Source organism: Homo sapiens, chromosome 18 (genome assembly GCF_000001405.40).
Source record: "Homo sapiens chromosome 18, GRCh38.p14 Primary Assembly".
Taxonomy (NCBI): domain Eukaryota; kingdom Metazoa; phylum Chordata; class Mammalia; order Primates; family Hominidae; genus Homo; species Homo sapiens.
In genome coordinates, this window is record NC_000018.10 from 59,020,414 (window position 1) to 59,044,373 (window position 23,960).

General features: G+C 44.8%; 1 pseudogene across 1 annotated transcript in view, besides 1 other annotated feature; it reads left to right on the top strand.

Annotated features, from left to right (window-relative positions):
• OACYLP (O-acyltransferase like, pseudogene) overlaps positions 1-23,960 on the top strand; it is a 72,699-nt pseudogene that overhangs the window by 23,803 nt on the left and 24,936 nt on the right. The window contains exons 3-8 of the transcript NR_024021.3: positions 804-882; positions 6,994-7,135; positions 9,375-9,601; positions 15,255-15,434; positions 16,527-16,629; positions 23,663-23,764. The product of NR_024021.3 is annotated as an O-acyltransferase like, pseudogene (transcript). The remainder of the gene's footprint in view (positions 1-803; positions 883-6,993; positions 7,136-9,374; positions 9,602-15,254; positions 15,435-16,526; positions 16,630-23,662; positions 23,765-23,960) is intronic.
• Positions 19,975-20,024: a silencer, noted in NCBI's record as "silent region_9489". NCBI's record gives its function as "represses an Ori minimal core promoter by ATAC-STARR-seq in GM12878 lymphoblastoid cells {active_cell/tissue: GM12878}" and the evidence as "EXISTENCE:reporter gene assay evidence [ECO:0000049][PMID:35858748]".

The following is a 23,960-nucleotide window of genomic DNA, read 5'->3' on the forward strand; positions in this document are numbered from 1 at the left end:
TTAAATACAAAGATAGACTTTATGTGTGTCACACAGTACTAAAGGAAAATTACAAGTTGGCTAATAACAACTGTATAAAGTAACAATAAGAAATCCAAGCTCTCTGATATTAATGCTATAAAATGATCTTAGAATGGTTCGCCGTGGAGACAGGGAGATGACCACCTAGCTCCATTTGTCATGCTGAGGGTTGGGATAGTGATTGCTTGAGGGGATTAATCAGTGCATACAAATGTCATTTTCAAAGCAGATTAATGGTTTTGATATTGGAGAAAAAGGTCAGGCCTACACAATCCTCTAAATTACGTGTTTAAAACAATCACCTCAGAATTTTTTATTTATAATTTGATGTTTTCTCTATTGGGATGGCATTCTAGTTATTGGCTTGATTTGTTAATAAAATCTTTATTTGATACAATGTGTCCTGCCACCAAGAAATGGCAACTTGGAAATTGTATTGAAAATTGCAGGAGATGCAACTCTTAATGAACTCTAATATGGAAGAGACAGGCAATGGGGCAGATTATCCAAAACTAGTGGTTGCTTTTTAAAGAATCAGCTACATTAAGCCTTGAGGCTTTTTTTTTTTTTTTAATATGCATGTGTCTGATGCTCTGGAAATTCACTTGAACTACTCAGTAATGGAAAAGTCATCTTTTAAGAAGTTAGAACACTTTTCTTCTTTCAACATCCTTCTCTCCCACTCCCAATCTGATTATTTAGCAGCAAACTTACTTGGGATGATCATGCGTATATGTTATGAATGCCAAAATGAAAGAACATTGTGGCGATGTGTTTCCCAGGATGGGGCTGACTACAGTGTGGGCGTGTGTGTCCCTGATTCTTGTGCTGAAGAGGATGTGACTCTGATGTCTCGGCTGGGTAGGTACAAAAGAATATCCAGTGAAACTATCATCTCACAGCATAATGTTGGGAAAACCCCAGCTCTTAGAACCAAGAAAGGTAATTCCTTCAGGATTGAGCCAACCTTTCATCGTGATCAATCTAATAAACCGAGCCTAATGGAGGTTTGAGGGGTCCAGGGGTAAAGATGGTGGAATAAGTAATGGAGTAGGTAGGAAGGGAGACAATAAGGAAGAGATAGAGTTGAATCTTTATGTAATAAAAATATAAAGTTAAACCATCTTTCCTCACCCACAGCTGCCTGGTTAGGCTGAAGAAAGGAGGTGGGTGGTGTTTGGTTTCACTATTGTGAGTGTTCTGTGCCCTGGCCCATGTGTGGCAATCTGCCACCTGCCATATCCAGAGGCCATTCTGAACGAGGACTGTGTACTGTCAACATGTTGTAATGGATTAGCATTAAGAGCCCAGCATTTGGTCCTGGTTGTCACCTCCCAGCTGTGTGATCCTGGGCCAATTACTTAATCTCCCCAAGTTCAGTCTCTTCCTCTGTACAGTGAGGGGTGGCTCTGCATGGCTCTCTCTATGGCCTTCTAATCACTTCTCCCTTAGCTATGCAGAAGGAATACATTTTAGTCTCCACAGAAACTGATTTGACTTCCCCTAAGTCTTTCAAAGTTTTCAAAGCAAGAATTTTAAACCTAGATTTTTGCCACTATTGTATTTTATATTTATTCTGGTCATCCAGAGAAGAACTAACACACACTAAAGTTATACATTATTAGGAGTGAGAAGAACTAACATATAATAAAGTTATACATTATTAAGAGTTCTCCTTTAAAGTATTGATATTGCAGCTAGTTGTCAAAATCTTAAATGGTCCTTTGCATTTGTGACGATTCCTGTAGCTTTGGGTATATTATCTATCTAGCCAGGTATTTCATGTGCTGTTTAAAAAAGCAATAAATCATTGCAAATCAAATTCAAATTTCAATTCTTGTTGGATAAGCCGTAAATATCCTAGAAACAAAGATAAATGTGTAGTTATTATTAAATTAGCATTTCAAGTGACTAAGTGACTCTGTAAGTCTAATGAGTTAATAGTCCTTATTATTTAAGAGATTTGTCAATTAGCCTAATTTTTCAGACTAATGCCAAGCTTTCTAGCCAGAGTTGACATTAGAATAAAATAAAATATTAGAAATAATTGCCGTTGATAAAAAGATGTTTTGAGAAAGAAGCATTCAAAGAGAAACAAGATGGAGATTCTCTTTGAGGAACCAGGAAAAGAAAACGGCCTGGTTGTTGTGAGCTGAGCTGACGTGGGTGGATGGATAAGGGGAATTTAGTCTTTGCTGCCCAGGCATTTTTCCAGCTCTGGCACAGAGGCAGCAGATAGAAATTAGAGGTCTTTGCCCAGGGTAAAAGGTCCCCATCTGGAAAGGATTTGTCAGCTATTCCTTAAAGCTGTTTGATGGAGCTGCCAATATTTCCTCTACAGATGTGAGACAACCAGCTCGGCAGTACCAGGTGGAAGCTGTTTGCACGGACTGCACTCACCCAGAGGAGGGGAGCAGGGAGGGCTGGTCTCAGATCGGGCGAGAAAAAGTGCCCCAGTACTGCAGAGGGAGAGCAAGATCCTGGCAGGTCAGGACGTAACTGCTTTTGGCCAAAGGCTAGGGCAAAACGCTGCACAGTTGTTGTCATAGAATGTTATAAAATTTCACCCAACAGACTTTACCAGAGTTCCTAAGAATAAAAATATGTAACACCAGAATGCTGAGAGCCTGGATGGAACTTGGATGTGGTGATTATGAAACCCAATTATGGGATATTTTCCTAAAAATCCAGACCCATGCATTTTGGTGTCATTAATAGTCCTTTCCCATCGCTGCTGTAACAAGTGAACACACACTGGGTGGCTTAGAACGACAGAGATTCATTCTTTTGCAGTTCTGGAGGCTAAACCTCAGAAGTCAAGGTGTTGATGAGGTTGGTTCCTTCTGGAGGCTCTGAGGGAGAGTCTGTTCCTTGCCCCACTCCACGTGCCTGGTGGCTGCCAGCAATTCTTGGCACTCCTTGGCTTGTAGCCACATCATTCCAACCTCTACCTCCACCTGCATGTGGAGTTCTTCCCTGCGTGTCCAAACTTCCCTCGCATAAGGACACCAGTCATACTGGATTTAGGGCCCACCCTAACCTCATCTTAAAGTTGATTACATCTGCAAATACCCTATTTCCAAATAAGATCACATATGCTGTACTAGGAGTTAGGACTTGAACCTTTTTGGAGGACACAGTTCAACCCAAAAGACTACCTAATACCTACTTCCTAGTCTGGCTAGATTATCTGAGTTCCCTTTAACATAACAGGGAGTTGGGAGGATAGGGACTCATAGCCCCTTAGCTCAGGGCCCTGCTCTTAGAATATGCTTGACAAATGTTAGATAATCTTGCTGAAGTTTAATTGTGAGGCAGAGGCAATCTACCTGGTCACAGGGACCACAAAAGAGCTGACAAAGAAGGGGCTTGGGTGTTTTTGTTTTTGCTTTGTTTTTTTGAGAAAAGAATTTGCTCTGTCCCCCAGGCTGGAGTGCAGTGGCACAATCATGGCTCATTGCCGCCTCTATCTCCTGGGTCCAAGCCATCCTTCCACCTCAACCTCCCAAATAGCTGAGATCAGGCATGCACCACCACACCCGGCTAATTTGTAAATGTTTTGTAGAGATGGGGTCTCCTTGTGTTGGCCAGGCTGGTCTCAAGCTCCTGGAGTCAAGCGATCCTTCTGCCTCAACCTCCCAAAGTGCTGGGATTACAGGTGTGAGCCACCGCACCCAGCCTGGGGCTTGTTTTAAAGGTCTGTTTAACACTGACTTGTGTCTGATTTTATCCAGACACAACACTGAAGAGCTGCATATTTCCATTCTCGGGGACTCACTCTAAGTCTGAGACACACTCACTCTAAGTCTGTCCCATTGGAGACTTTATAATGTTTTATGATTATCACACTGTCCCAGTTTGCAGTGGCCAAAAGCAATGAGTTCCGAGTCGCTTAGAATCAACGTTTAACAGTCCTTTACAATAAGCTTTAAACTGTGCTCTTTCCTATGCTCTATTAGGCTAATTTCACCTTGCTTTGCCTGTGAGAATCACTAGGCCTACATAGCAGAACAACTGTGCTAGAAGCACGAGGGAAGATTTTTCTCCTCGAACTCTCTCTTACAGATTCCCTGAGCGCCAATGGAGAAAATGGAACTCTTTTAATAGTAACTCCTTGAATTACCCATAGAATTGCCTTTCTGGCTAAGGATTCAAAAGGAATCCAAAACATTTCACAGAATACCGTTTTGTGTTCTCAATTCAATTCAGAAAATATTTATTGAGCAATTTTCTCTCTGGCCTTTGTATGAGACATCACCTGTATGCGCTGGGGAGGAGGAAGGGGATCAAAATGATTGAGAGTATTCGTTTCAAAAAAATGCACAATTTAGTTAGGAAGAAAAGTGTGTGTGCCTGAGCTATTAGGAAACACTGTCAGGAAAGAAATGTCCAACCTCACATCAAGTGCTGGGGCTGGGCATACAAGCTGGAGAAGCAGAGCCCAGCATGGATAGAGTAAGAGTGGGGAATTTAGACAGGGCTTGAGCTGACCTTGTGTTAGTGAAGAGGTCAGGGTGGGGTGGGGTGAGAAGTTGTTGGAAAACAGATTCAACAGAGGTTTCCAATAAAGGTTTCATATTTCCCTTGTAGATCTGGAATCTAGCACAGCATAGACATTTAAGGCTGATTACTTAAGGCCGATTGGATGTGCGTGGGCTGCCGGTTGTCTTTGTTTACTATGGCAGGATTTAGAGCTGGGCTGTGGTTGATTGACAAAAAAACCAACCAACCAAAACAAAAAAAACCAAACCAAAACAAAAATGCCATTTGATTCCTTTAAAATTAGAAATAGAACTTCCAAAGGGAACAGACGTGCGCTGGCTGGTCAGTACACTTCGTTTTCAGTGGAAGAGTTTAGTTTGGATACCCAAATACTAACAGGAAGTAGCTCCAGGGAGCATTGGTTCAGAGCAAATGGAATTGGATTATGAAAAATTCTGCTGCCAGGTCTCCTGTGGGAACCTGCTGGTAACCTAGATCAAGCACCCCAACTCTTGGCCAGGGCTGAGGACACACAGATGACCCTTCCTTCTCGTCTCTACCCTTACCATGCTACAATTAAGAATCACAGTTAATCACATATTATTAGTCTTTCAGCAGCATTTTTGGACATTTCAGAAACCCTTGGGTCACAGACTCATGGGAACCTTGAGGGTTAGAGATGGAAAGGACATTAGAATACATCATGTCCCTTGTGTTTATTGCAGCATTATTTACAATAGCAAAGACTTGGAACCAACCCAAATACCCATCAATGATAGACTGGATAAAGAAAATGGGGCACATATACACCATGGAATACTATGCAGCCCTAAAAAAGAATGAGTTTACGTCCTTTGCAGGGACAAGGATGAAGCTGGAAACCATCTTTCTCAGCAAACTAACACAGGAACAGAAAACCAAACCCTGCATGTTCTCACTCATAAGTGGGAGTTCAACAGTGAGAACACATGGACACAGGGAGGGAAACATCACACACGGGGACCTGTCAGGGGGTAGGGGGCAAGAGGAGGGAGAGCATTAGGATAAATACCTAATGCATTCGGGGCTTAAAACCTAAATGACGGGTTGATGGGTGCAGCAAACCACCATGGCACGTGTATACCTATGTAACAAACCTGCACATTCTACACATGTATCCCAGAACTTAAAGTATGATAATAATAAAAGAATACATCGTGTCTGACCCACCCTTCACTGTTACGCAGATGAGGAAATGAGACCCAGAGAGATGAAGCGACTTGCTCAGGGTCACACAGCAAGCTAGCTCAAACTTGAGCCTCTTGAATGCAAGACTAGGCAATGTGGTGTGGTGAGATGAGGAACACCCAACATTTATCAAACTTACTGCCTGTCCTGCACTGTCCTAAGGGCTTTACAATCATTGTGTCACTTAGTTCTCATGACAACCCTACGAGGTAGGTACTATTATGATCCCCATTTTAAAGAAGGAGGAAAACCGTGTTCCCATCCTTTGTGGGGATTTTGGAAGTCCCCTGGTCTTAATTCTAACCGTGTGCTCCTGGGATTCACAGCAAGAGCACCTGTAAACTTGTCAGAAGTGCAAAGTCAGGTTCCACCTCGAACCTCCTGGATCAGAAACTTGCAGGGAGGGGAGGCAGAGAGCCAACAGGCCCTCAAGGTAATTCTGAGGCTTGTAAAATTGGAGACAACTGCCCTAGTCTTACCAGTAAGATCTTTACGCGCAATTTCTTCCAGTGCTCATCAGCTGTGTCCTGACTGGCTGCTTCTTACCTTTAATTTCAGACGGCACCTTTCCCCAGACTATGGGCTGCAATTGTATATTTCCATCTTATATTGCATTTCTCTCTCAGGGGGCTTGTTCACTAATAGATTTGAGCCAGCAATGGCACGTGTTTAGTTTTTTTGTACCCAGTACCGTGTGCTAGGAAAGGCCAGGAGAAAAGACTGATTCAGGAGACCCGGGTTTACTTCCAGCTAGGCTAAGAGTTCCTCATTCCGTGAGTTTCCACATTTTTGTGCCCTGTTTCCCTCCAGCTGTAAATCAGATATATTCAAAACCAGCTGTCCCCGCCCTGTTTTTTTGGAGACAGTCTCGCTCTGTGGTCCAGGCTGGAGTGCAGTGGCATGATACTGGCTCACTGTAACCTCTGCCTCCCGGACTCAAGTGATTCTTGTGCCTCAGCCTACCGAGTAGCTGGGACTACAGACGTGCATCACCATGCCTGGCTAATTTTTCTATTTTTAGTAGAGACAGGGTTTCACCATGCTGGCCAGGCTGGTCTCAAACTCCTGACCTCAAGTGATCTCCCTGCCTCGGCCTCCTCCCAAGTGTAGGATTACAGGCGTGCGCCACTGCACCCAGCTCCAGCTGTCCCTTTTTACTGTAAAAGTTTCGTTTTGAAACAATAGATATGAAAACACTTGGAAAAATGTAAGGCATTATTACAAACTAAATGATTTATACACTCTCTTTTTCTTTTCTGGTAGATACTTTAAGATTCAGAAATACTTCATTTTTGGCCCCTTCCCTCTTTCTTTTTACAATAAATTCTTCCTCCTTGTCTGGTGGGAGTGTGACCAGATGTGCTGCTGGAAAGATCCCCCTGGACACATTTGCTGCCGTATGTCTGTGAGTATGGACATCCAAGGTACCTGGGTGGGTTGTGATCTGTCGGTACTGTTTTATCAACTTCCCCTTATCCACTGCATTTCACTATTACATTTCATTCATTGCACGATGTCTGGCCAGTGCTGCCTGTTTCAGGATATTATGGTCTGAGTGTTTTTGTTTCCTCTACAAAATTCATAAGTTGGAATCTCACCCGCAATGTGATGATATCCAGAGATGGGGCCTTTGAGAGGTGCCTGTCATGAGGGCAGAGCCTTCACGAATGGGGTCAGGTAGTTTAGACAAGGGACCCCAGAGAGCCCTCTTGCCCCTTCCACCATGTGAGGACACAGCTAGAAGGCGCCATCTATGAACCAGAAAGTGGGCTCTCAACAGACACCGAATCTTCCAGCACTTTGATTCTGGGCTTCCCAGACTCCAAAACTGTGAGAAATTAATTTCTGGGGCATATAAGCCGCCTAGCCTATGGTATTTTGTTATAACAGCCAAATAGACTGAGACACAGGGAGATCACCATTTACCTTTTTTTTTTGAGACAGAGTCTTGCTCTGTCACACAGGCTGGAGTGCAGTGGCGTAATCTCAGCTCACTGCAGCCTCCACCTCACGGGTTCAAGCAATTCTCCTGTCTCAGCCTCCCGAGTAGCTGGGACTACAGGCGTGTGCCACTGCACCCGGCTAATTTTGTATTTTTAGTAGAGACAGGGTTTCATCATGTTGGCCAGGCTGGTCTCGAACTCCTGACCTCAGGTGATCCACCCACCTTGGCCTCCCAAAGTGCTGGCATTACAGGCGTAAGCCACCATGCTCAGCCCACCATTTACCTTAAACAAGAAAATGCACAATTGTTCAAGGGGAAGGCCGACCATGCCCAGTGTGATTGGTTTCAGGACCACTGAGAAATGTATTCTATCCCAAAACATTCCTGTTCCTTGCTGTCAGGTGACCACTGAAGATTAATTTTTTATTTGAGGCATTGCCTTGCCTACAGACATTACAGCAAGTCACCCAATACTTTTTGGGTGTTGCCCAGGCTGGAGTGCAGTGGTGTGATCTCAGCTTACTTCAACCTTCGCCTCCCAGGTTCAAGCAATTCTCCTGCCTCAGCCTCCCGAGTAGCTGGGACTACAGGCACATGCCACCATGCCTGGCTAATTTTTATATTTTTGTAGTAGAGACGGGGTTTCACCATGTTGGCCAGGCTGGTCTCGAACTCCTGACCTCATGATCTGTCTGCCTCAGCCTCCCAAAGTGCTGGGATCACAGGCGTGAGCCACTGCGCCCGGCCTCTTAGCATAAATTAAATAGAAGTACAATTGCTGGGTCATAACTTGAACCATTTGATGCTGTTTTCCTGAACAATTCATTTTTCCTGCCCCCAGTAGGAAACTCTCATGTGTTCCTTTACCCTCTCACCAGCATCAAAAGCTACTACCTTTATAAAAAGTGGAACCAATTTGATAGGTGAATACATTGGTTTAATTTACAACTTCAAAAAACTGGCAAAGAGGGTTTTTCTTTCCTAAGTTTATCTGTCACTTGTATTTTTCTCTTGTAAATTCGTATTCTTTACCCCCTTTTCCATGTGTGTATTAGTTAGGCTCTTCTTTTTTTTTTTTTTTTTTTGAGACAGTCTCGCTCTGTCACCCAGGCTGCAGTGCAGTGGGGCGATCTCAGCTCATTGCAACCTCTGCCTCCCGGGTTCAAGAGAATCTCCTGCCTCAGCCTCCCAAGTAGCTGGAACTACAGGCACACACCACCATGCCCAGCTAATTTTTGTATTTTCAGTAGAGTTGGGGTTTCACCATGTAGGCCAGGCTGGTCTCAAACTCCTGACCTCAGGTGATCTGCCCACCTCGGCCTCCCAAAGTGCTGGGATTACAGGTGTGAGCCACCGCACCCAGCCAGGTTCTTACTAATTTTTAAAGTTTATTATGTATATAAAGAATATTAATTCTGAGTCATATCAGCTGCAGACATCTTCCTCAGTATTTTGGTTGCTTTAAGATTTTAAAAATAATTATGACAAGTTAAGTGAAATCCATTAATATTTTCCTTTATATTTTTTCTCTTTTTTCATTAGTTTTATTCTTACAGCATCATTCTCCATCCTTAAAATTGTTAAAGGTTTTTCTACGTAAGTATGCAGCGGTTTGCTTTTCACAGGCCCGTTTTCTCGGCGTCTTGTTTCGGTGTCCTGAGATGAGGGAAGGCACAGCTGTTGTGTCTTCTTCCTGCAGGTTCATCACCTTGCTGGGTCTCATCCTCCCTCCGGCTGGAACAGTCTGCGTGGCAGCTAGGGAATGGGGGTCAGCCTGCAGGACATCGCGGGAACACGGGGAACCTCTGGCCACTTACGGGAGTCTGCCACTGAGCGAGGCGGAGAGCAATGAACAAAGAAGCAGAATCCCACGGACACACTGCCGGGCACATCTCCTCCTGTCAGCAGCCTCCAGCAGAGGAAAAAGTAGGCATTTGAATGAAACTAAGACCACCCAGGAGAAGTGACTTAGCCGAGTGTGCAGTTGGAAACGAATGCCTACAGTGCTGGCTTCTAGCAAACGCCCGGCAGCTTCCAAATGTCAGTGTGGAGGTTGGATCTCCGCTCTTGACAGTCCCATCTTTGTTTACCAGCAGCATGCTAAGGTCAGGCAAGGTCGCTAAAAATGCTGCTTTATTTTGTGGGTACAATTATCCAGTGTGTTTTTGTGCTGATCAAAGACTAGAACAGGGCTTGGGGTTTCACTGCAGCAATTCTCTAAGGAACAATTCCATGGCCACAGTGTCTGCTTTCAGTGTCACACTTACACACATGACCCGTAGAAGCTTCCTGACATCACCAGGAAGGGGAGTGATTTACATAGAAACTGAAGGGAGGGTGTTGAGTGTGCAACACAAGCTAATTCACACAGCATGCTATGTGTGAGCCAGAAACAGATTAACCCAGCATAGGTAGTGAGAGGCCGGATTTTGATGAGATAGACTGCATTGGGTTTTAGTGAAAAATCAGGAGCATTGCCTTCATTTCTACCTGCCTACCTATACACCAAGGCAAACAGAATGTGTCTCTCTCTCACACAAAAAAGCCTGGTCACTCAAGTACCTTCAGAACATGTGGAATAAGAGGGTCGGGCTCAGTGGCTTATGCCCGTAATCCTAGCACTTTTGGGATGTCAAGGTGGGAGGACTGATTGAGCTCGGGAGTTTGAGGCCAGCCTGTGTAATGCAGCAAGACCCCCATCTCTACAAAAAAAAAAAAAAATTAAAAATTAGCCAGGCAACAGAGTAAGACCCTGAATCAAAAAAAAAAAAGAACAGAGCATGGAATAATATTTGACAGATTTCTTTTAGGTCCACACAATTATCCTTTCTTACTGCAACTAGGGGGATAAAAATAAAAATGAAATGGCTGGGCTCGGTGGCTCACCCCTCTAATCCCAGCACTTTGGGAGGCCGAGGCGGGTGGATCACCTGAGGTCAAGAGTTCGAGACTAACCTGGCCAACATGGTGAAACCTCGTCTCTTCTAAAAATACAAAAATTAGCCAGGCATGGTGGTGGGTGCCTGTAATCCTGGCTATTCGGGAGGCTGAGGCAGGAGAATTGCTTGAACCCAGGAGGCAAAGGTTGCAATGAGCTGAGATCGTGCCACTGCACTCCAGCCTGGGTGACAAGAGCAAGACTGTCTCAAAAAAAGAAAAGAAAAGAAAAGAAAAGAAATTTCAGTGAATGAACTAGAAGGATATGAATGGATATGAATAAATGATAAGTAGCTTCAGGGAATATGCCTACTGTGGAAGGCATAGAAATTATTTTCTCAAATCCTATTCAGATTTTTTTTTTTTTTTTTTTTTTGGGACAGGGTCTCCCTCTGTCACCCAGGCTGGAGTGCAGTGGCATGATCTCAGCTCACTGCCATCTCCGCCTCCTGGCTCAAATGATCTTTGTATTTTTAGTAGAGATGGGGTTTTGCCATGTGCTGCCCAGGCTGGTCTCAAGCTCCCGGGCTCAAATGATCCACTCGCCTCAACCTTCCAAAGTGCTGGGATTCTAGGCGTGGGCCACTGCGCCCAGCCCTATTCGGGTCTTAAGGCCAAAAGAAAAACAGTAGCAACACCAACAAAAAGCTCAACAATAAGAAAAACAAAACACATGTATGTGTAAGCAGAGATATGATATAAGAAGGAGCCAAGAAGGCCTAGAGGTCCCTGGCACAACCTCTTTCCCAAAGCTGGAAGCAGCTCTAGCAGCCGGGTGGCTTCCTGTGGACCCATCTGTGATGGGAAGTGCTGGCTGTCAGGCTTCTGAATGAGAGGCAATCCCTGCTGTCCTGTAATTCCCACCAGGGGCCCTGGTTTTGCCTTCTAGGGCCCAGAAAATAATCATGCTCTCTTGTTTCTATTGCAGCCCCATCAGATGTTGAGGGCAGTTATGACGGCCCTGTCCAAGTCTCAGAACCCCTCAATTACTTCACACGATGTGGTTCTAGACCTCTGTCTCTGTGCCACTCCCCGCCCCCAACCCCGCACTCCCACACCGGCAGCCTGTAGACAGTTCCACAGTCGGAGTGGCAGAAAGAGCACATGCTCAGGGATCCTGTGACCCAGTCAAACATGCTTTGATTGCTAACTCTCACCTTGGTCAGATTGTGTGACCTCTATGAACCTCAGTTTCCACATGTGTAAAACAGGGGCATAGAATGGGATCTGTGGAAGGAATTAAATGAGATCATGAGCACTTACCACCTCCTCCTAAATTCATTCCTTGTTTCCTCATTCTCTTCGGTTAAGCCACGAGAGGAAAGAAAGGGTAGGGGCTTAAATCTGCCAAGGCTACATGCTTGGGCTGCTCTGACCTCGCTCAGTGAGCAGCAGGGTCAGCTGGATCGCAGGGACATACCACGTCCACAGAGCTGGGTTGCAGGGACATGCCACGTCCACAGAGCTGGGTTGCAGGGACATGCCACGTGCTTCCAACTCTCTGATGGGAGTGGAGCCCACAGTCATTAGAATTCACCATTGTGCTCATCTCTGCTAGGCTGGCCCTCAGAGCCCGACCTTTTAAGGCTGGATCACAGGATTTAGGCCAGACACACCTGGTATGGTGTTAGGGACTGAAACTTTAGGTTCCTCACCCAAAATGAGGCACCCTATGATCAGGACATTAACGTTATGTTAGCTTTCTTTTAGCAGGCACATTGAAATGTGGTCTCAAAATAGGGGTTTTCCATGTTCTGTTGCCATAACAAGTTTTTAATTTTTGTACTTAATACCATTAAAGGATGCTGGGCGTGGTGGCTCACGCCCATAATCCCCACATTTTGGGAGGCTGAGGCAGGAAGATTGCTTGCACCCAGGAGTTCAAGACCAGCATGGGCAATGTGGCAAAACCTCGTCTCTACAAAAAATACAAAAATTAGCCGGGCATGGCGGTGTGTGCCTGTAGTCCCAGCTACCCAGGAGGCTGAGCCAGGAGGATTGCATGAGCCTGGAGATGGAGGTTGCAGTGAACTGAGTTCATATCACTGCACTCCAGCCTGGGGGATAGAGCCAGACCCTGTCTCAAAAAGAAAAAACAAACAAAAACCCATCAAAGGTAAAATATCACATCTCTGAATGTTTGAAAATAAAAATCAATTCGGAGAGACCCAGAGATTCAGCATTTTTTTCTCTCTCCACTTTTACGTTAATCAGTGAGTCAAATCAACATAAGACCACCGTGTCTTCTAGAAGTTTAGAGCTAAATTGGGTATTTGGATTCCTGACTCTTTATCCTCCAAATAACCATTGCATTTGCTTAGAATGCTTTCCCGTCACATGAGCCTGTCCTTTGCTCTTTAGATGAGAACAATATGAGTGAATGTATAAGGAAGTTTTCATGACATACATACATAGCTATGGATTCAGCCCCTGGGCAACAGGGCTCTTACTTAACGGCCTGTTGCTTAAAGTGGGCTCACTGTGATTGAGCAAACCGGAAGTGGCTGCAAAGTTTTTTAGAGCATTGTCACAACCAATGGGTCTTCAACTTTGGAGTGCATCAGAGTCACCTGGAAGACTATTACAGCACAGATTCCTGGGCCCTGACCCAAAGACTCTGACCTGGTAAGTCTGTGGTGGGGCCTGGGAATCTGCATTTCTAATAAGTTCCCAGGTGATGTTGAAGCTGCTGGCTCAGAGACCTCTGCTTTGAGAACCGGTGATTGCATGCATCATTTCAGCCAATCCTCCCCACGTTCTTATTGTTTATAACACTTTCCATTTACAAATGAGCTAAATGAGCCTCAGGGAGGTTGTCCTCCCTCTAGACCAGTTATTTTCAGAAACCTTTATAAACCACTGATGGGTAAGTTCATTCACTAGCAGAATTTAGATGGAAAAAACATAGTAACAAAACATATTGAGCACTAGCTTGCCACATGAGGCATCAAACCAGATATTTGATGTTCTAGAATCCCCATTACAACCCTACCAAAAATTATACCCATTCTAAAAGCGAGGAAACTGAGGCTCAGGGAGGCTAAAGAAGTTGGCCAAACCTGGCAGAGCCCGGGTCCTGTATCTCTCCACTGCTCGGGAAACTGAGGAGGAGCAGGTGAATCAGCTCTAGGAGGCTGCTGGTTGTGCTGTAGTTGTGGCCAATTCCTGAGTGAAAACCCCTGTGAATGAAAAGGGTGGGTGTGGTGACTTCAGACAGAGACGCAATCACAAAGTGACTTAAATGGAAAAACTTGTATTCACGGCTGGAACTTCAAAATGTTAGGTAGTTAAATTCTTCAATTTAAGAAATTGCCTTAGATTTCCAGAGTTTGGTTATGAGCCAGACCTCATTTGTGAATAAGTTTTAATTCTGCAAAGACTTCTTTGTGCCCACAATGTTGAAGGCACGGGGCTCTGTCCAGGAGGAAATGTGAGTCTCTCAGAGCCGGCTTGAGCTTGGAGGCCCCTGTTTTGCAATTCCAGACACTTGCTTCGTTCTCAGATAGGTAAACATTAAATTCTTTAAGAAAGGGAATGAATTAAGAAGATGGTATTAACCATTCTTAAAGTGATAGGGCTTAAAACAGTGGTAGTAGTAGCTGTGTTCTCACGAGTACATACTAGGTTGCCTCTATTTAATGTGATTTATAAGCATTATCTCATTTGTTCTTCATGATAATCCTTTAAAATCTACTTTGATTATTTTGCAGATGTGGAAACTTAGACACAGAGAGGTTAATTCACTTGCCGGGGGTCACAGAGCTGATAAATGACAGAATCAGAGCCAGGAGCATCTGGCTATATGGCCTGTGCCCTAAGCTCCTGTGCCACTGGTCCTTCTGTTTTCATGCCTATACTTTGACCTACGTTAGGGTTGTTATTCATTATTATTATTATTATTATTATTATTATTATTATTATTTTTGAGACGGAGTCTCACTCTGTCACCCAGGCTAGAATGCAGTGGTGCAGTCTCAGCTCACTGCAACCTCCACCTCCTGGGTTCAAGTGATTCTCCTGCCTCAGCTTCCGGAGTAGCTGGGACTACAGGCATGCACCACCATGCCCGGCTAACTGTATTTTTAGTAGAGATGGGGTTTCATGTTGGTCAGGCTGGTCTCAAACTCCTGACCTCAAGTGATCCACCTGCCTCGGCCTCCCAAAGTGCTGGGATTACAGACGTGAGCCACCGCACCTGGCTCATTATTCATAAGTAACTAGTCCTCAGGATTGCAGGGGTGTTCTTTCAAGTGAAAGTCTTGCTTTGTGTATCACATCGATTCTTACTGATGTCTGCGTTCTCCTTCCCTCAACTCTTCGTCAAGCAGGACTGGGGTCAGGGGTTGGCATCTCTGGGGCCTGAGCTTGGGCAGCGTATTCTGTGCAAAGCATGTGGGGCACCAAACTCAGGTCAAGTCTGTTAGGGAAAGTCAAGATTCAAAAGGGAGGGATACCAAGTATGAAAGTCCACAGATAGATGAAGATGGAACCACGGAGGCTGAGCTGAGAAGCCCAGGGTCAGAGCAAGAGAGCCTCCGAGTAACTGCCAAGATCTGTGGATTGTGCTTTGGTTCTTGTTGCGGGGTGGTGTGTGGATACCCTGGCAGTCAAGGTGGACAGTAACATCTTTGCTCTTGCCCAGGGTTTCTAGGAGCCGTGGCTCATGCTCTGGAGTGCTTTTCTTGGCAGAAGAATGTGCCAGCCATCTGGACTACAAAGGCACCAGGTGGCACCTGCTCTGCACTGAATGGCATTCGTGTCTTGAGTCTTCTTTGGATCATCTCGGGACACACCAGTCAGATGACTGCATGGCTGTCTTTGGGTGCGGAGAGTTGATGAGCCTTTACTCTAGGAGCAGTCAGGGAAGAGACATTCTTTGGTATGGCGGGATCACGTTGGCCAAAGGATGGGAGACTGGCAGCCTTCCCACGAGCAGACTTCCTTCTGTTTTAGACACACTGTGTGTAACCTCCCATCAGTAAGCTTTCCAGGCCAGTGTCTAGTGGCTCCTTTCACTCCCTCTAGGTATAAATCAGGTACCTGGCTGCCAGGTATATAGTGATACCTGGGTATTGTATTTTCGTTATCCAAAGAGCCGAATTCTCTCTCATCATGGTTAGTGAAGCCAGGACCTAACATTTATTTTTCCTTGAAAAGCAGACAAGCATAAACATGGTCCACTAATATCAAATCAGTGTTTCTCCACCTTCTCCCTGCTGCTACCCTCCTGAAGCGCTCCTATCAATAATAGTGGTACTCTCTAAATAGGGAGTAAACACAGCCCAGGGCAGATTGAAGAAGCCTCCCGGGTGGTCTGCACCAGCCCATGAATAGGTGGTGCTACAGTCCAGGGGGGCTGTGGCCACCGTGAGTGCACAAAGGAGCTCAAAGCTCCTGAACGACCAGTAGGGACCTCAGTCACTGCCTTTTATTCCCAGTCTAACTTCTCCTTCGACATGAATTACATTGATTCTTCTTCTTTTTTTTTTTTTTTTTTCTTGAGACAGAATCTCACTCTGTCACCCCCAGGCTGGAGTACAATGGCATGATCTCGGCTCACTGCAACCTCCACCTCCTGCGTTCAAGTGATTCTCCTGCCTCAGCCTCCCAAGTAGCTGGGATTATGGGTGCCCACCACCATGGCTGGCTAATTTTTTGTGTTTTTAGTAGAGACGGGGATTCACTATGTTGGCCAGGTTGGTCTTGAACTCCTGACCTCATGATCTGCCTGCCTTGGCCTCCCAAAGTGCTGGGATTACAGGCGTGAGCCACTGTGCCTGGCCTATAGTGATTCTTAAAGCCTGCCCAGCACAACTGAAAGTCGAAGGTGTTCCTCTTGCTTTTTCTGAAAAGAGAAATCACATGATTTTCTTCTATGAAACAAAAAGACACTGCTTTTTAATGTTTGTTACAGATAATGTGCTTGAATGGAACAGCAGAGTGCTTAGAAACCCACTGTGTGTTTACTCTTGGAGTGGTCCCTTCTATCTTGGAGTTGATACATTTTTCCTGATCAGGTAATAAGGTTGAACTACGTTTTCAGTGCTGTAGGGCTTGTGGTGTTTGTTTTGGGATATGTGTATGCATATGTGTTACCATTCTCACTCTAATGAGAAAAGCGGAATGACCCACATTTATTCATCTGAGCCTTTGTCCATTTCTAGACAGTACTGTTGTCACAGGAGACTCTCCACTGTATCTTCCGTTTATTACATGAGTTAGGATGGCTCTATAACACAGGCCTTTTAAACATTGATTGTATTCATCAAAATTGTTTATTTCAGTGCTTCTCAAATTCTGGCCCACAGAGTGGTACAGGTGCTTGATGAAGTTCCGACTTCTCACTATAGTGAAATGGGAAAAATTCAGAAAATGGCATGATGTTTCATAAAGTTATGTTTATTTATATGAACTATTAACAGGTAAAATTTCTTAATTGTTTGAGAAATGTCAGGCACTGTGGTAAGCACGTTGAAATAGTATCTCATTTAATCCTCATGAAAATTCTCATTTTTGCTTTTAAAAATTGGGGTAAAATTTACATAACATAAAATTAACCACTTAGTGTAAAATTCAGGGCATTTAATACATTTACAATATTGCACAACCACTTTTTTTTTTTTTTTTTTTTTTTTTTTTGAGATAGAGTCTCACTCTGCCATCCAGGCTGGAGTGCAGTGGCGCAATTTTGGCTCACCACAACCTCTGCCTCCTGGGTTCAAGCGATTCTCCTGTCTCAGCCTCCCGAGTAGCTGGAACTACAGGCGCCTGCCACCATGGCTGGCTAATTTTTATATTTTTAGTAGAGATGGGGTTTCGCCATGTTGGCCAGGCTGGTCTCGAACTCCTGACCTCAGGTGATCTGACCACCTTGGCCTCCCAAAGTGTTGGGATTACAGGTGTAAGCCACGGCACCCAGCCTGCACAACCACTTTTATCTAGTTCCAAAGGTCTCAGAAGGCTTGTCTGATGGATGAGGTGCTATTTCAGCTGGGACCGGAATGGCAAGAAGGAGCTGGCCATGGGAAAATCTGAGACAAGAAAGTTCAGGCAAAGGATCAATTAGTGCAAACGTGCTCAGGCAAGAGCTCGGGAGCCTTATTAAGGAGAAGAAAGAAGGTTGAAGCTTAGTGAAGGTGAGGAAGAGTGGCAGAAAACACAAGAGAAGGGCAAGGCTAGACCATGGGGGACCTTGTAACAACACTAAGGAGTTTAGACTTCCGTCTTGGTGGAACGGGAAGGAGTGAGAGAGCTTGTTTTAATCTGGACAGTGATGTGATCTGGTTTATTTGAAAAATGATCACTCTGGCTCCTATGTGAATAATGCACCTAAGAAGGGCAAGAGTGGAAGCAGGATCAACTAGGTGACCTTTGCCCTATTTTAGATGAGAAATGGTAAGGCTGGGGTGATGGTGGCTGGAATCAAGAAAGAAGGTCACATTCAGGATGTGTTTAAGATGTGGAATTGCTAAGGCTTGTTGATGCATCAGATGTGAAGTGTCAGAAAAGAGACAAGTTGAGGATGATTTCTAGATTTGCGTTTCAGTGTCTGAGTCGATGGTGATGGCATTCATTAAGATGGAAAAGGTGGGAGGAGAAGCAGGGTCTGGAGGGAAAACCAAGCTTTCTGTTTTGGATGAATTAAGATGAAGGGGCCTTTTAGACAGCCACATAGAAATGTCAGGTGAGTAGCTGACCTATCATGAGTCACATCATAACTTGTGATATGATAGCTGACATTCATAAGTCATATCATAACTCGTGATATGGTAGCTGACATTCTTAAGTCATATCATAACTCGTGATGTGGTAGCTGACATTTGTAAGTCATATCATAACTCGTGATATGATAGCTGACATTCGTAAGTCATGTCATAACTCGTGATATGGTAGCTGACATTTGTAAGTCATATCATAACTCGTGATATGATAGCTGACATTCACAAGTCATGTCATAACTTGTGATATGGTAGCTGACATTCATAAGTCATATCATAACTTGTGATATGGTAGCTGACATTTATAAGTCATATCATAACTTTGTGATATGGTAGCTGACATTCATAAGTCATATCATAACTTGTGATATGGTAGCTGACATTTATAAGTCATATCATAACTTTGTGATATGGTAGCTGACATTCATAAGTCATATCATAACTTGTGATATGGTAGCTGACATTTATAAGTCATATCATAACTTGTGATATGGTAGCTGACATTCATAAGTCATATCATAACTCATGATATGGTAGCTGACATTTGTAAGTCGGGAGATCAGTGGAAACATCAAGGCTGGAGACATAAATTTTGGAGTCCTTGGGATATAGGAGGCATTTAAAGCCACAGTATTGAATCTGATCACATTAAGAGGAGAATGGAATGACCGATGGGGACTGAAGGCCAGGACCTCTGGTGTTCCAACCTTTAGAAGCTGAGAAGAACCCACAAAGGAGTCTGAGAATGAGTGACCAGTGAAATGGGGCACAAGTCAGACACTGGGGACCAGGAAGCCAAGAGAAGAAAGTGCCTCAAGGAGGAACGCTGTGGTCAGCGGGGCCCAATGCTCCGGGAGTTGATTGTGTAAAGAAACAATTTTTGGCTTTGGCAACCAGAGGCCTGCCTTTTGGTGACATTGTCAGGAGCAGAGTCAGTGGCGTGGTGGACGTGGAAGTCTGGTGGAGTGGGGTGAGGATGGGAGGATGCAGACACAATGACTTTGGACAACTCTTTCAAGATGTTTTGCTGTTTAAGGGAGAAAAGAAATGGAGTGGAGCTGGGCTCTGTACGGGGCACCAAGGAAGGTTGCTAAAAGAGAAGGGACTCAAGACATACCTATGGTATGTTGAGAATGACTGAGGAGAAAGGGGCAAACTGATGGCTGCTGGAGATGCTATTGTAGGTCAAACTACAATAGCCACAGAGCAATGTTTTCATAAGTGCCCCTGTTTTTTAAAAAAGGCCATTAAGGCCGGGCGTGGTGGCTCACACCTGTAATCCCAGCACTTTGGGAGGTCAAGGCAGGCTAATCGCTTGAGGCCAGGAGTTCAAGATCAGCCTGGCCAACATGACAAAACCCTGTCTCTGCAAAAAATACAGAAATTAGGTGGGCGTGGTAGTCCCAGCTACTTGGAGGCTGAGGCAGGAGAATCGCTTGAACCTGGGAGACAGAGGTTACAGTGAGCCGAGATCATGCCACTGCACTCAAGCCTGGGCAACAGTGAGACTCTGTCTTGAAAAAAAAAAAGTCATTAAATTCAAATGTGTGTGACCCACACAGTTAGGGGAGAACTAGCTCCCATGCTGCACAGAGCAACAGTAAGGGATGACTAATCACCAGCCACTTTCTGTGACACTTACCTCCCTAACAGCCTGGTGGCTTGATTCCTCTTCTCCTTCAAGTTTTTACACAGCAAAGCCTTCCTCGTCCCCTCTGTTTGAAGTGCAACTACCTAGCCTTCTTGACTTCATTTTTTCTCTTGATCCAACATACTATAGCTGCCATTTTTGATTGATTGATTAATTGTCTGTGTCTCTCCAGTGGAATGTAAGGCAGAAAGTTTGTTTTTCTGTTTTGTGCACTGCTGTGTCACCAGGTCACTGAAGCAGTGCTAGCCACAGAGTATTGTTCAATAAGTCATTGTTGAAATGAATGATTTCTTGTCTTATTTCCAGAATCTAGTGTATAGTTTCTTGTGGTAATGCTGAGGAAGAGGGATGAAGAACGAGCTCAGACCTGTCCATTAAGGATCGTGCTAGGAGGTGGCAAGTAGCCCAGACAGGCCAGGCTCAGGGTCCACAGTATGCAGCAAACCCAGCAGTGATACAGGAATCCCTGGGCTCTAGACTTTCCAAGACGGCAGCACTGGGTCTCACCAGGCAGGGGAAGCCCAGCTGCAGAAGACCGGGAGTGGGCCCCTGGAGGACGGGGAGGCTCTGCCACGGGGCAGCAGGCAAAGACCAGAACTCTGTTCCCTACAAGCCAGGCAAAAACGTCTGTATGCTGGGGTGGGACTGACTGGCAGGGTCCAAGCCCTGGGAGGGACACTGGCGAGGACAGATCAGGATGACAGGCACCGAAGCCAAACTCAATCTGGGGACTAGGAAACCTGTCACTAGGATGGAAAGATGGAGGGCACGAAAGGCCACTGGTCATGTCTGGGCCATCAGTGGGAATCGGAGACACCAGAGAAGCCACGAGGTCAGTCCTGAGATATCTAAAGCACAGGCCAAGGCTATTGAAATACAAAACAGCCCAGAAAACTACAAATATGTAGATGATTTATCTCCCACCTGGGTTGGTCTGGGGTCAGGGAGGGCCGTGCCTTATGTCAGTGGTCCTCAGAGAGCCGTCCCGGTGCAGTTTCACCAGCATCACCTGGAATTGGTAGAAGTGCAAATTCTTGGGCGCCACCCTAGACCCATTGAATCAGACTTTCTGGGGGCATGGCTCCAGCAATCTGGACTGTCACAAGCTCTCCAGGTTGTGCCTGCTGAAGCCTGAGCAGCTCTGTGTGAGCCCAGGCAGGAAAAGCCGAGGCCAACAGAGGTGGCCGAAGCCAGGCAGATTCTGACAGCAGCCTAGAGACAGAGAAGTACATTTCTTTTCTCTTTATCCCTATTTGCTTCCATTTCTCACCATCAGTCTCTGTGACTGTCTTTTTTTCCTTTTCCTTTAGTTTTTATTGTATTACTTTCAAAGGTTCATATTTTCTTTTATTTAAAATTTTCTTTTGAACAATGGAACCATTATTAATAGTGATACCTAGTATTACCATTATGCTAAGAGCTTGAAATATTTTATCCCATGCAATTCTCACAATAAACCTATAAAACTGGTACCCATATCATCCCCATTTTTACAGATGAGAAACTTCTTGATGTTCAGTAATGAGGTAATTTGTCCAAGTCTACACAGTTAGTAAGGTTAGAATTAGAGCTTACGTATAGCTTGTTTCACAAGGAAACCATGTCTTACTCACTATGTCACTGATATTTACATAGTAAAAGCAAAGCCTTCTGATTATCTTGAAGAATAATTTGTTGGCGACTGTTTTGTAATCCTCTCTCACCTCTCGGGCTGACTTCATCCAACACTAGTGCGTGCTTTGCTCTGTTGCAGTGTGTTCAGGTCTTTGGGTCTTAGCCCCTTGGAGCTAGCTATCTTGCTCAGAGCCTGTTTTCCTGCCAGTCTTTCTCGTTGCCCTCTCTTGATGAACTTGCAGGCCGGGAGGTGCATGCCCACACACACAGCGAGGCCCAGGCTTTGCTTAGCAACCGTGTTGGCAGAGGGGGAGCCAGTCACTCTGAAAAGAAAGAATCGCCCTGATTTATCCTTTCCTGAAATTAATAGGAGGCCGGAATCAGAATTGGCTGCCCTGCTTCCTCCTCTTAGCACTGTCTTTTAGATGTCTCTATAAATTTTGTTCCTATTTAATGAGTCCAACTTGCTGCTTTTCAAAGGAAAATCTGGAAGGCAGAGAATGGAGACATTCTCCAACCCTCCCTGATCCCTTCCAAGTCCCACCCAACACACAGCTTTGTTTTACAATAGGAAATACATTAGCTCTTTAGGGAAACACCCACAAGGATCACTGGTATAAATGTCAAAAGTTTGAGAAACTCACATACTTGCTTACCATCCAGTAGCAATTAAAAGGCATAACTTTTGTTTCTTTAGCTGCACATTCTGGGTAATGAATTTGTCATCAGGGTATGTTGGTTAAGAATTCTGTGATCTTGGGCAACCCTCTTAATAATCTCTAGGTCTCACTTTTCCCATCAGAGAAGCCAAAATGAAAGTGTCTTCCTTTTTACCTAATAGAGCTGTTTATTCATCTATTATTCATCTATTCAATCATTCACTCAACAAACAACTATTTATTTTTTTGGGATGGAGTCTCGCTCTGTCATCCAGGCTGGAGTACAGTGGTGCCATCTCGGCTCACTGCAACCTCCACCTCTCAGGTTCAAACGATTCTCCTGCCTCAGCCTCCTGAGTAGCTGGGACTGCAGGCACATGCCACCACGCTCAGCAAATTTTTGTATTTTTAGTAGAGGTGGTGTTTTGCCACGTTGGCCAGGCTGGTCTTGAACTCCTGAACTCAGGTGATCCACCCATCTCCCAAAGCACTGGGATTACAGGTGTGAGTCACTGGGTCTGGCCAACAAATGTTTTTTGCAAAGTAGTTTTGTACGACTGGAGAAGGGAAAGCAATCTCATTAGCGAAAGTACTTTGAAAGTGATGTGCTGCTACACAAATGGAAAGTCTTGGTGTTATTATTTCAAAAGACCAAATGGTAGTCATTAATATTGTTCAACAAATCTTTCTGTGTTCCTCCCTTTTGGGCACTTGGCAACATTCCACTTCCTGGACCCATTGTGATTGGGTGGGTCACATCATTAGTTCTGACCAAGTGGTACCTGGTATTGCCATTGCGCTAAGTGCTTTAGACTCTTATGCTAAGAGCTTAAAACGTGACACTTTTAGATTAGAGGGTTTCGTTGCTATTTTGTGGCCCTCCAGAATGCTGTTGTCATCTTCCATGGTCACTAGTGAGGTTTCAGATGGTAGCTGCTCTGTCAACCTGGGCATGCAGCATGAGCAAGAACAAAACAATTGTTTTTGGCTGGCCACCGTGGCTCACGCTTGTAATCCCAGCACTTTGGGAGGCCGAGGCGGGTGGATCATGAGGTCAGGAGTTCGAGACCAGCCTGGCCAACATGGTGAAACTCTGTCTCTACTAAAAATACAAAAATTAGCTAGGTGTGGTGGTAGGTGCCTGTAATCCCAGCTGCTTGGGAGGCTGAGGCAGGAGAATCGCTTGAACCCGAGAGGTGGAGGTTGCAGTGAGCCGAGATTGCGCCACTGCACTCCAGCCTTGGTGACAGAACTAGACACCGTCTTAAAAAAAAATTGTTTTAAGACTTGGAGGTGCTTTGTTAATGCATCATAATTTATTCTGTACAGATTGGGACAACCAAATGAATCAATCAATGAATGTATTATTGATAAGTAATTCCTGCGACAATTCTTCTTTTTCTTTTAGTGGTTGGTTAAGTGCAAGTTCGTTTTTAAAGATGCATCAGAATTCAGACAAAGGAATAACCCCCAAAGGCATACTCAGATACTTTCTCAGTCACCTGGTAAGGTAGGTGTCACGTGTGTCCGTGTGAAGAGACCACCAGACAGGCTTTGTGCAAGCAACAAGGCTGTTTATTTCACCTGGGTGCAGGTGGGCTGAGTCCGAAAAGAGAGTCAGCAAAGGGTGGTGGGCTTTTCATTAGTTCTTATAGGTTTTGGTATAGGCGGTGGAGTTAGGAGCAATGTTTTGCGGGGGGCAGTGG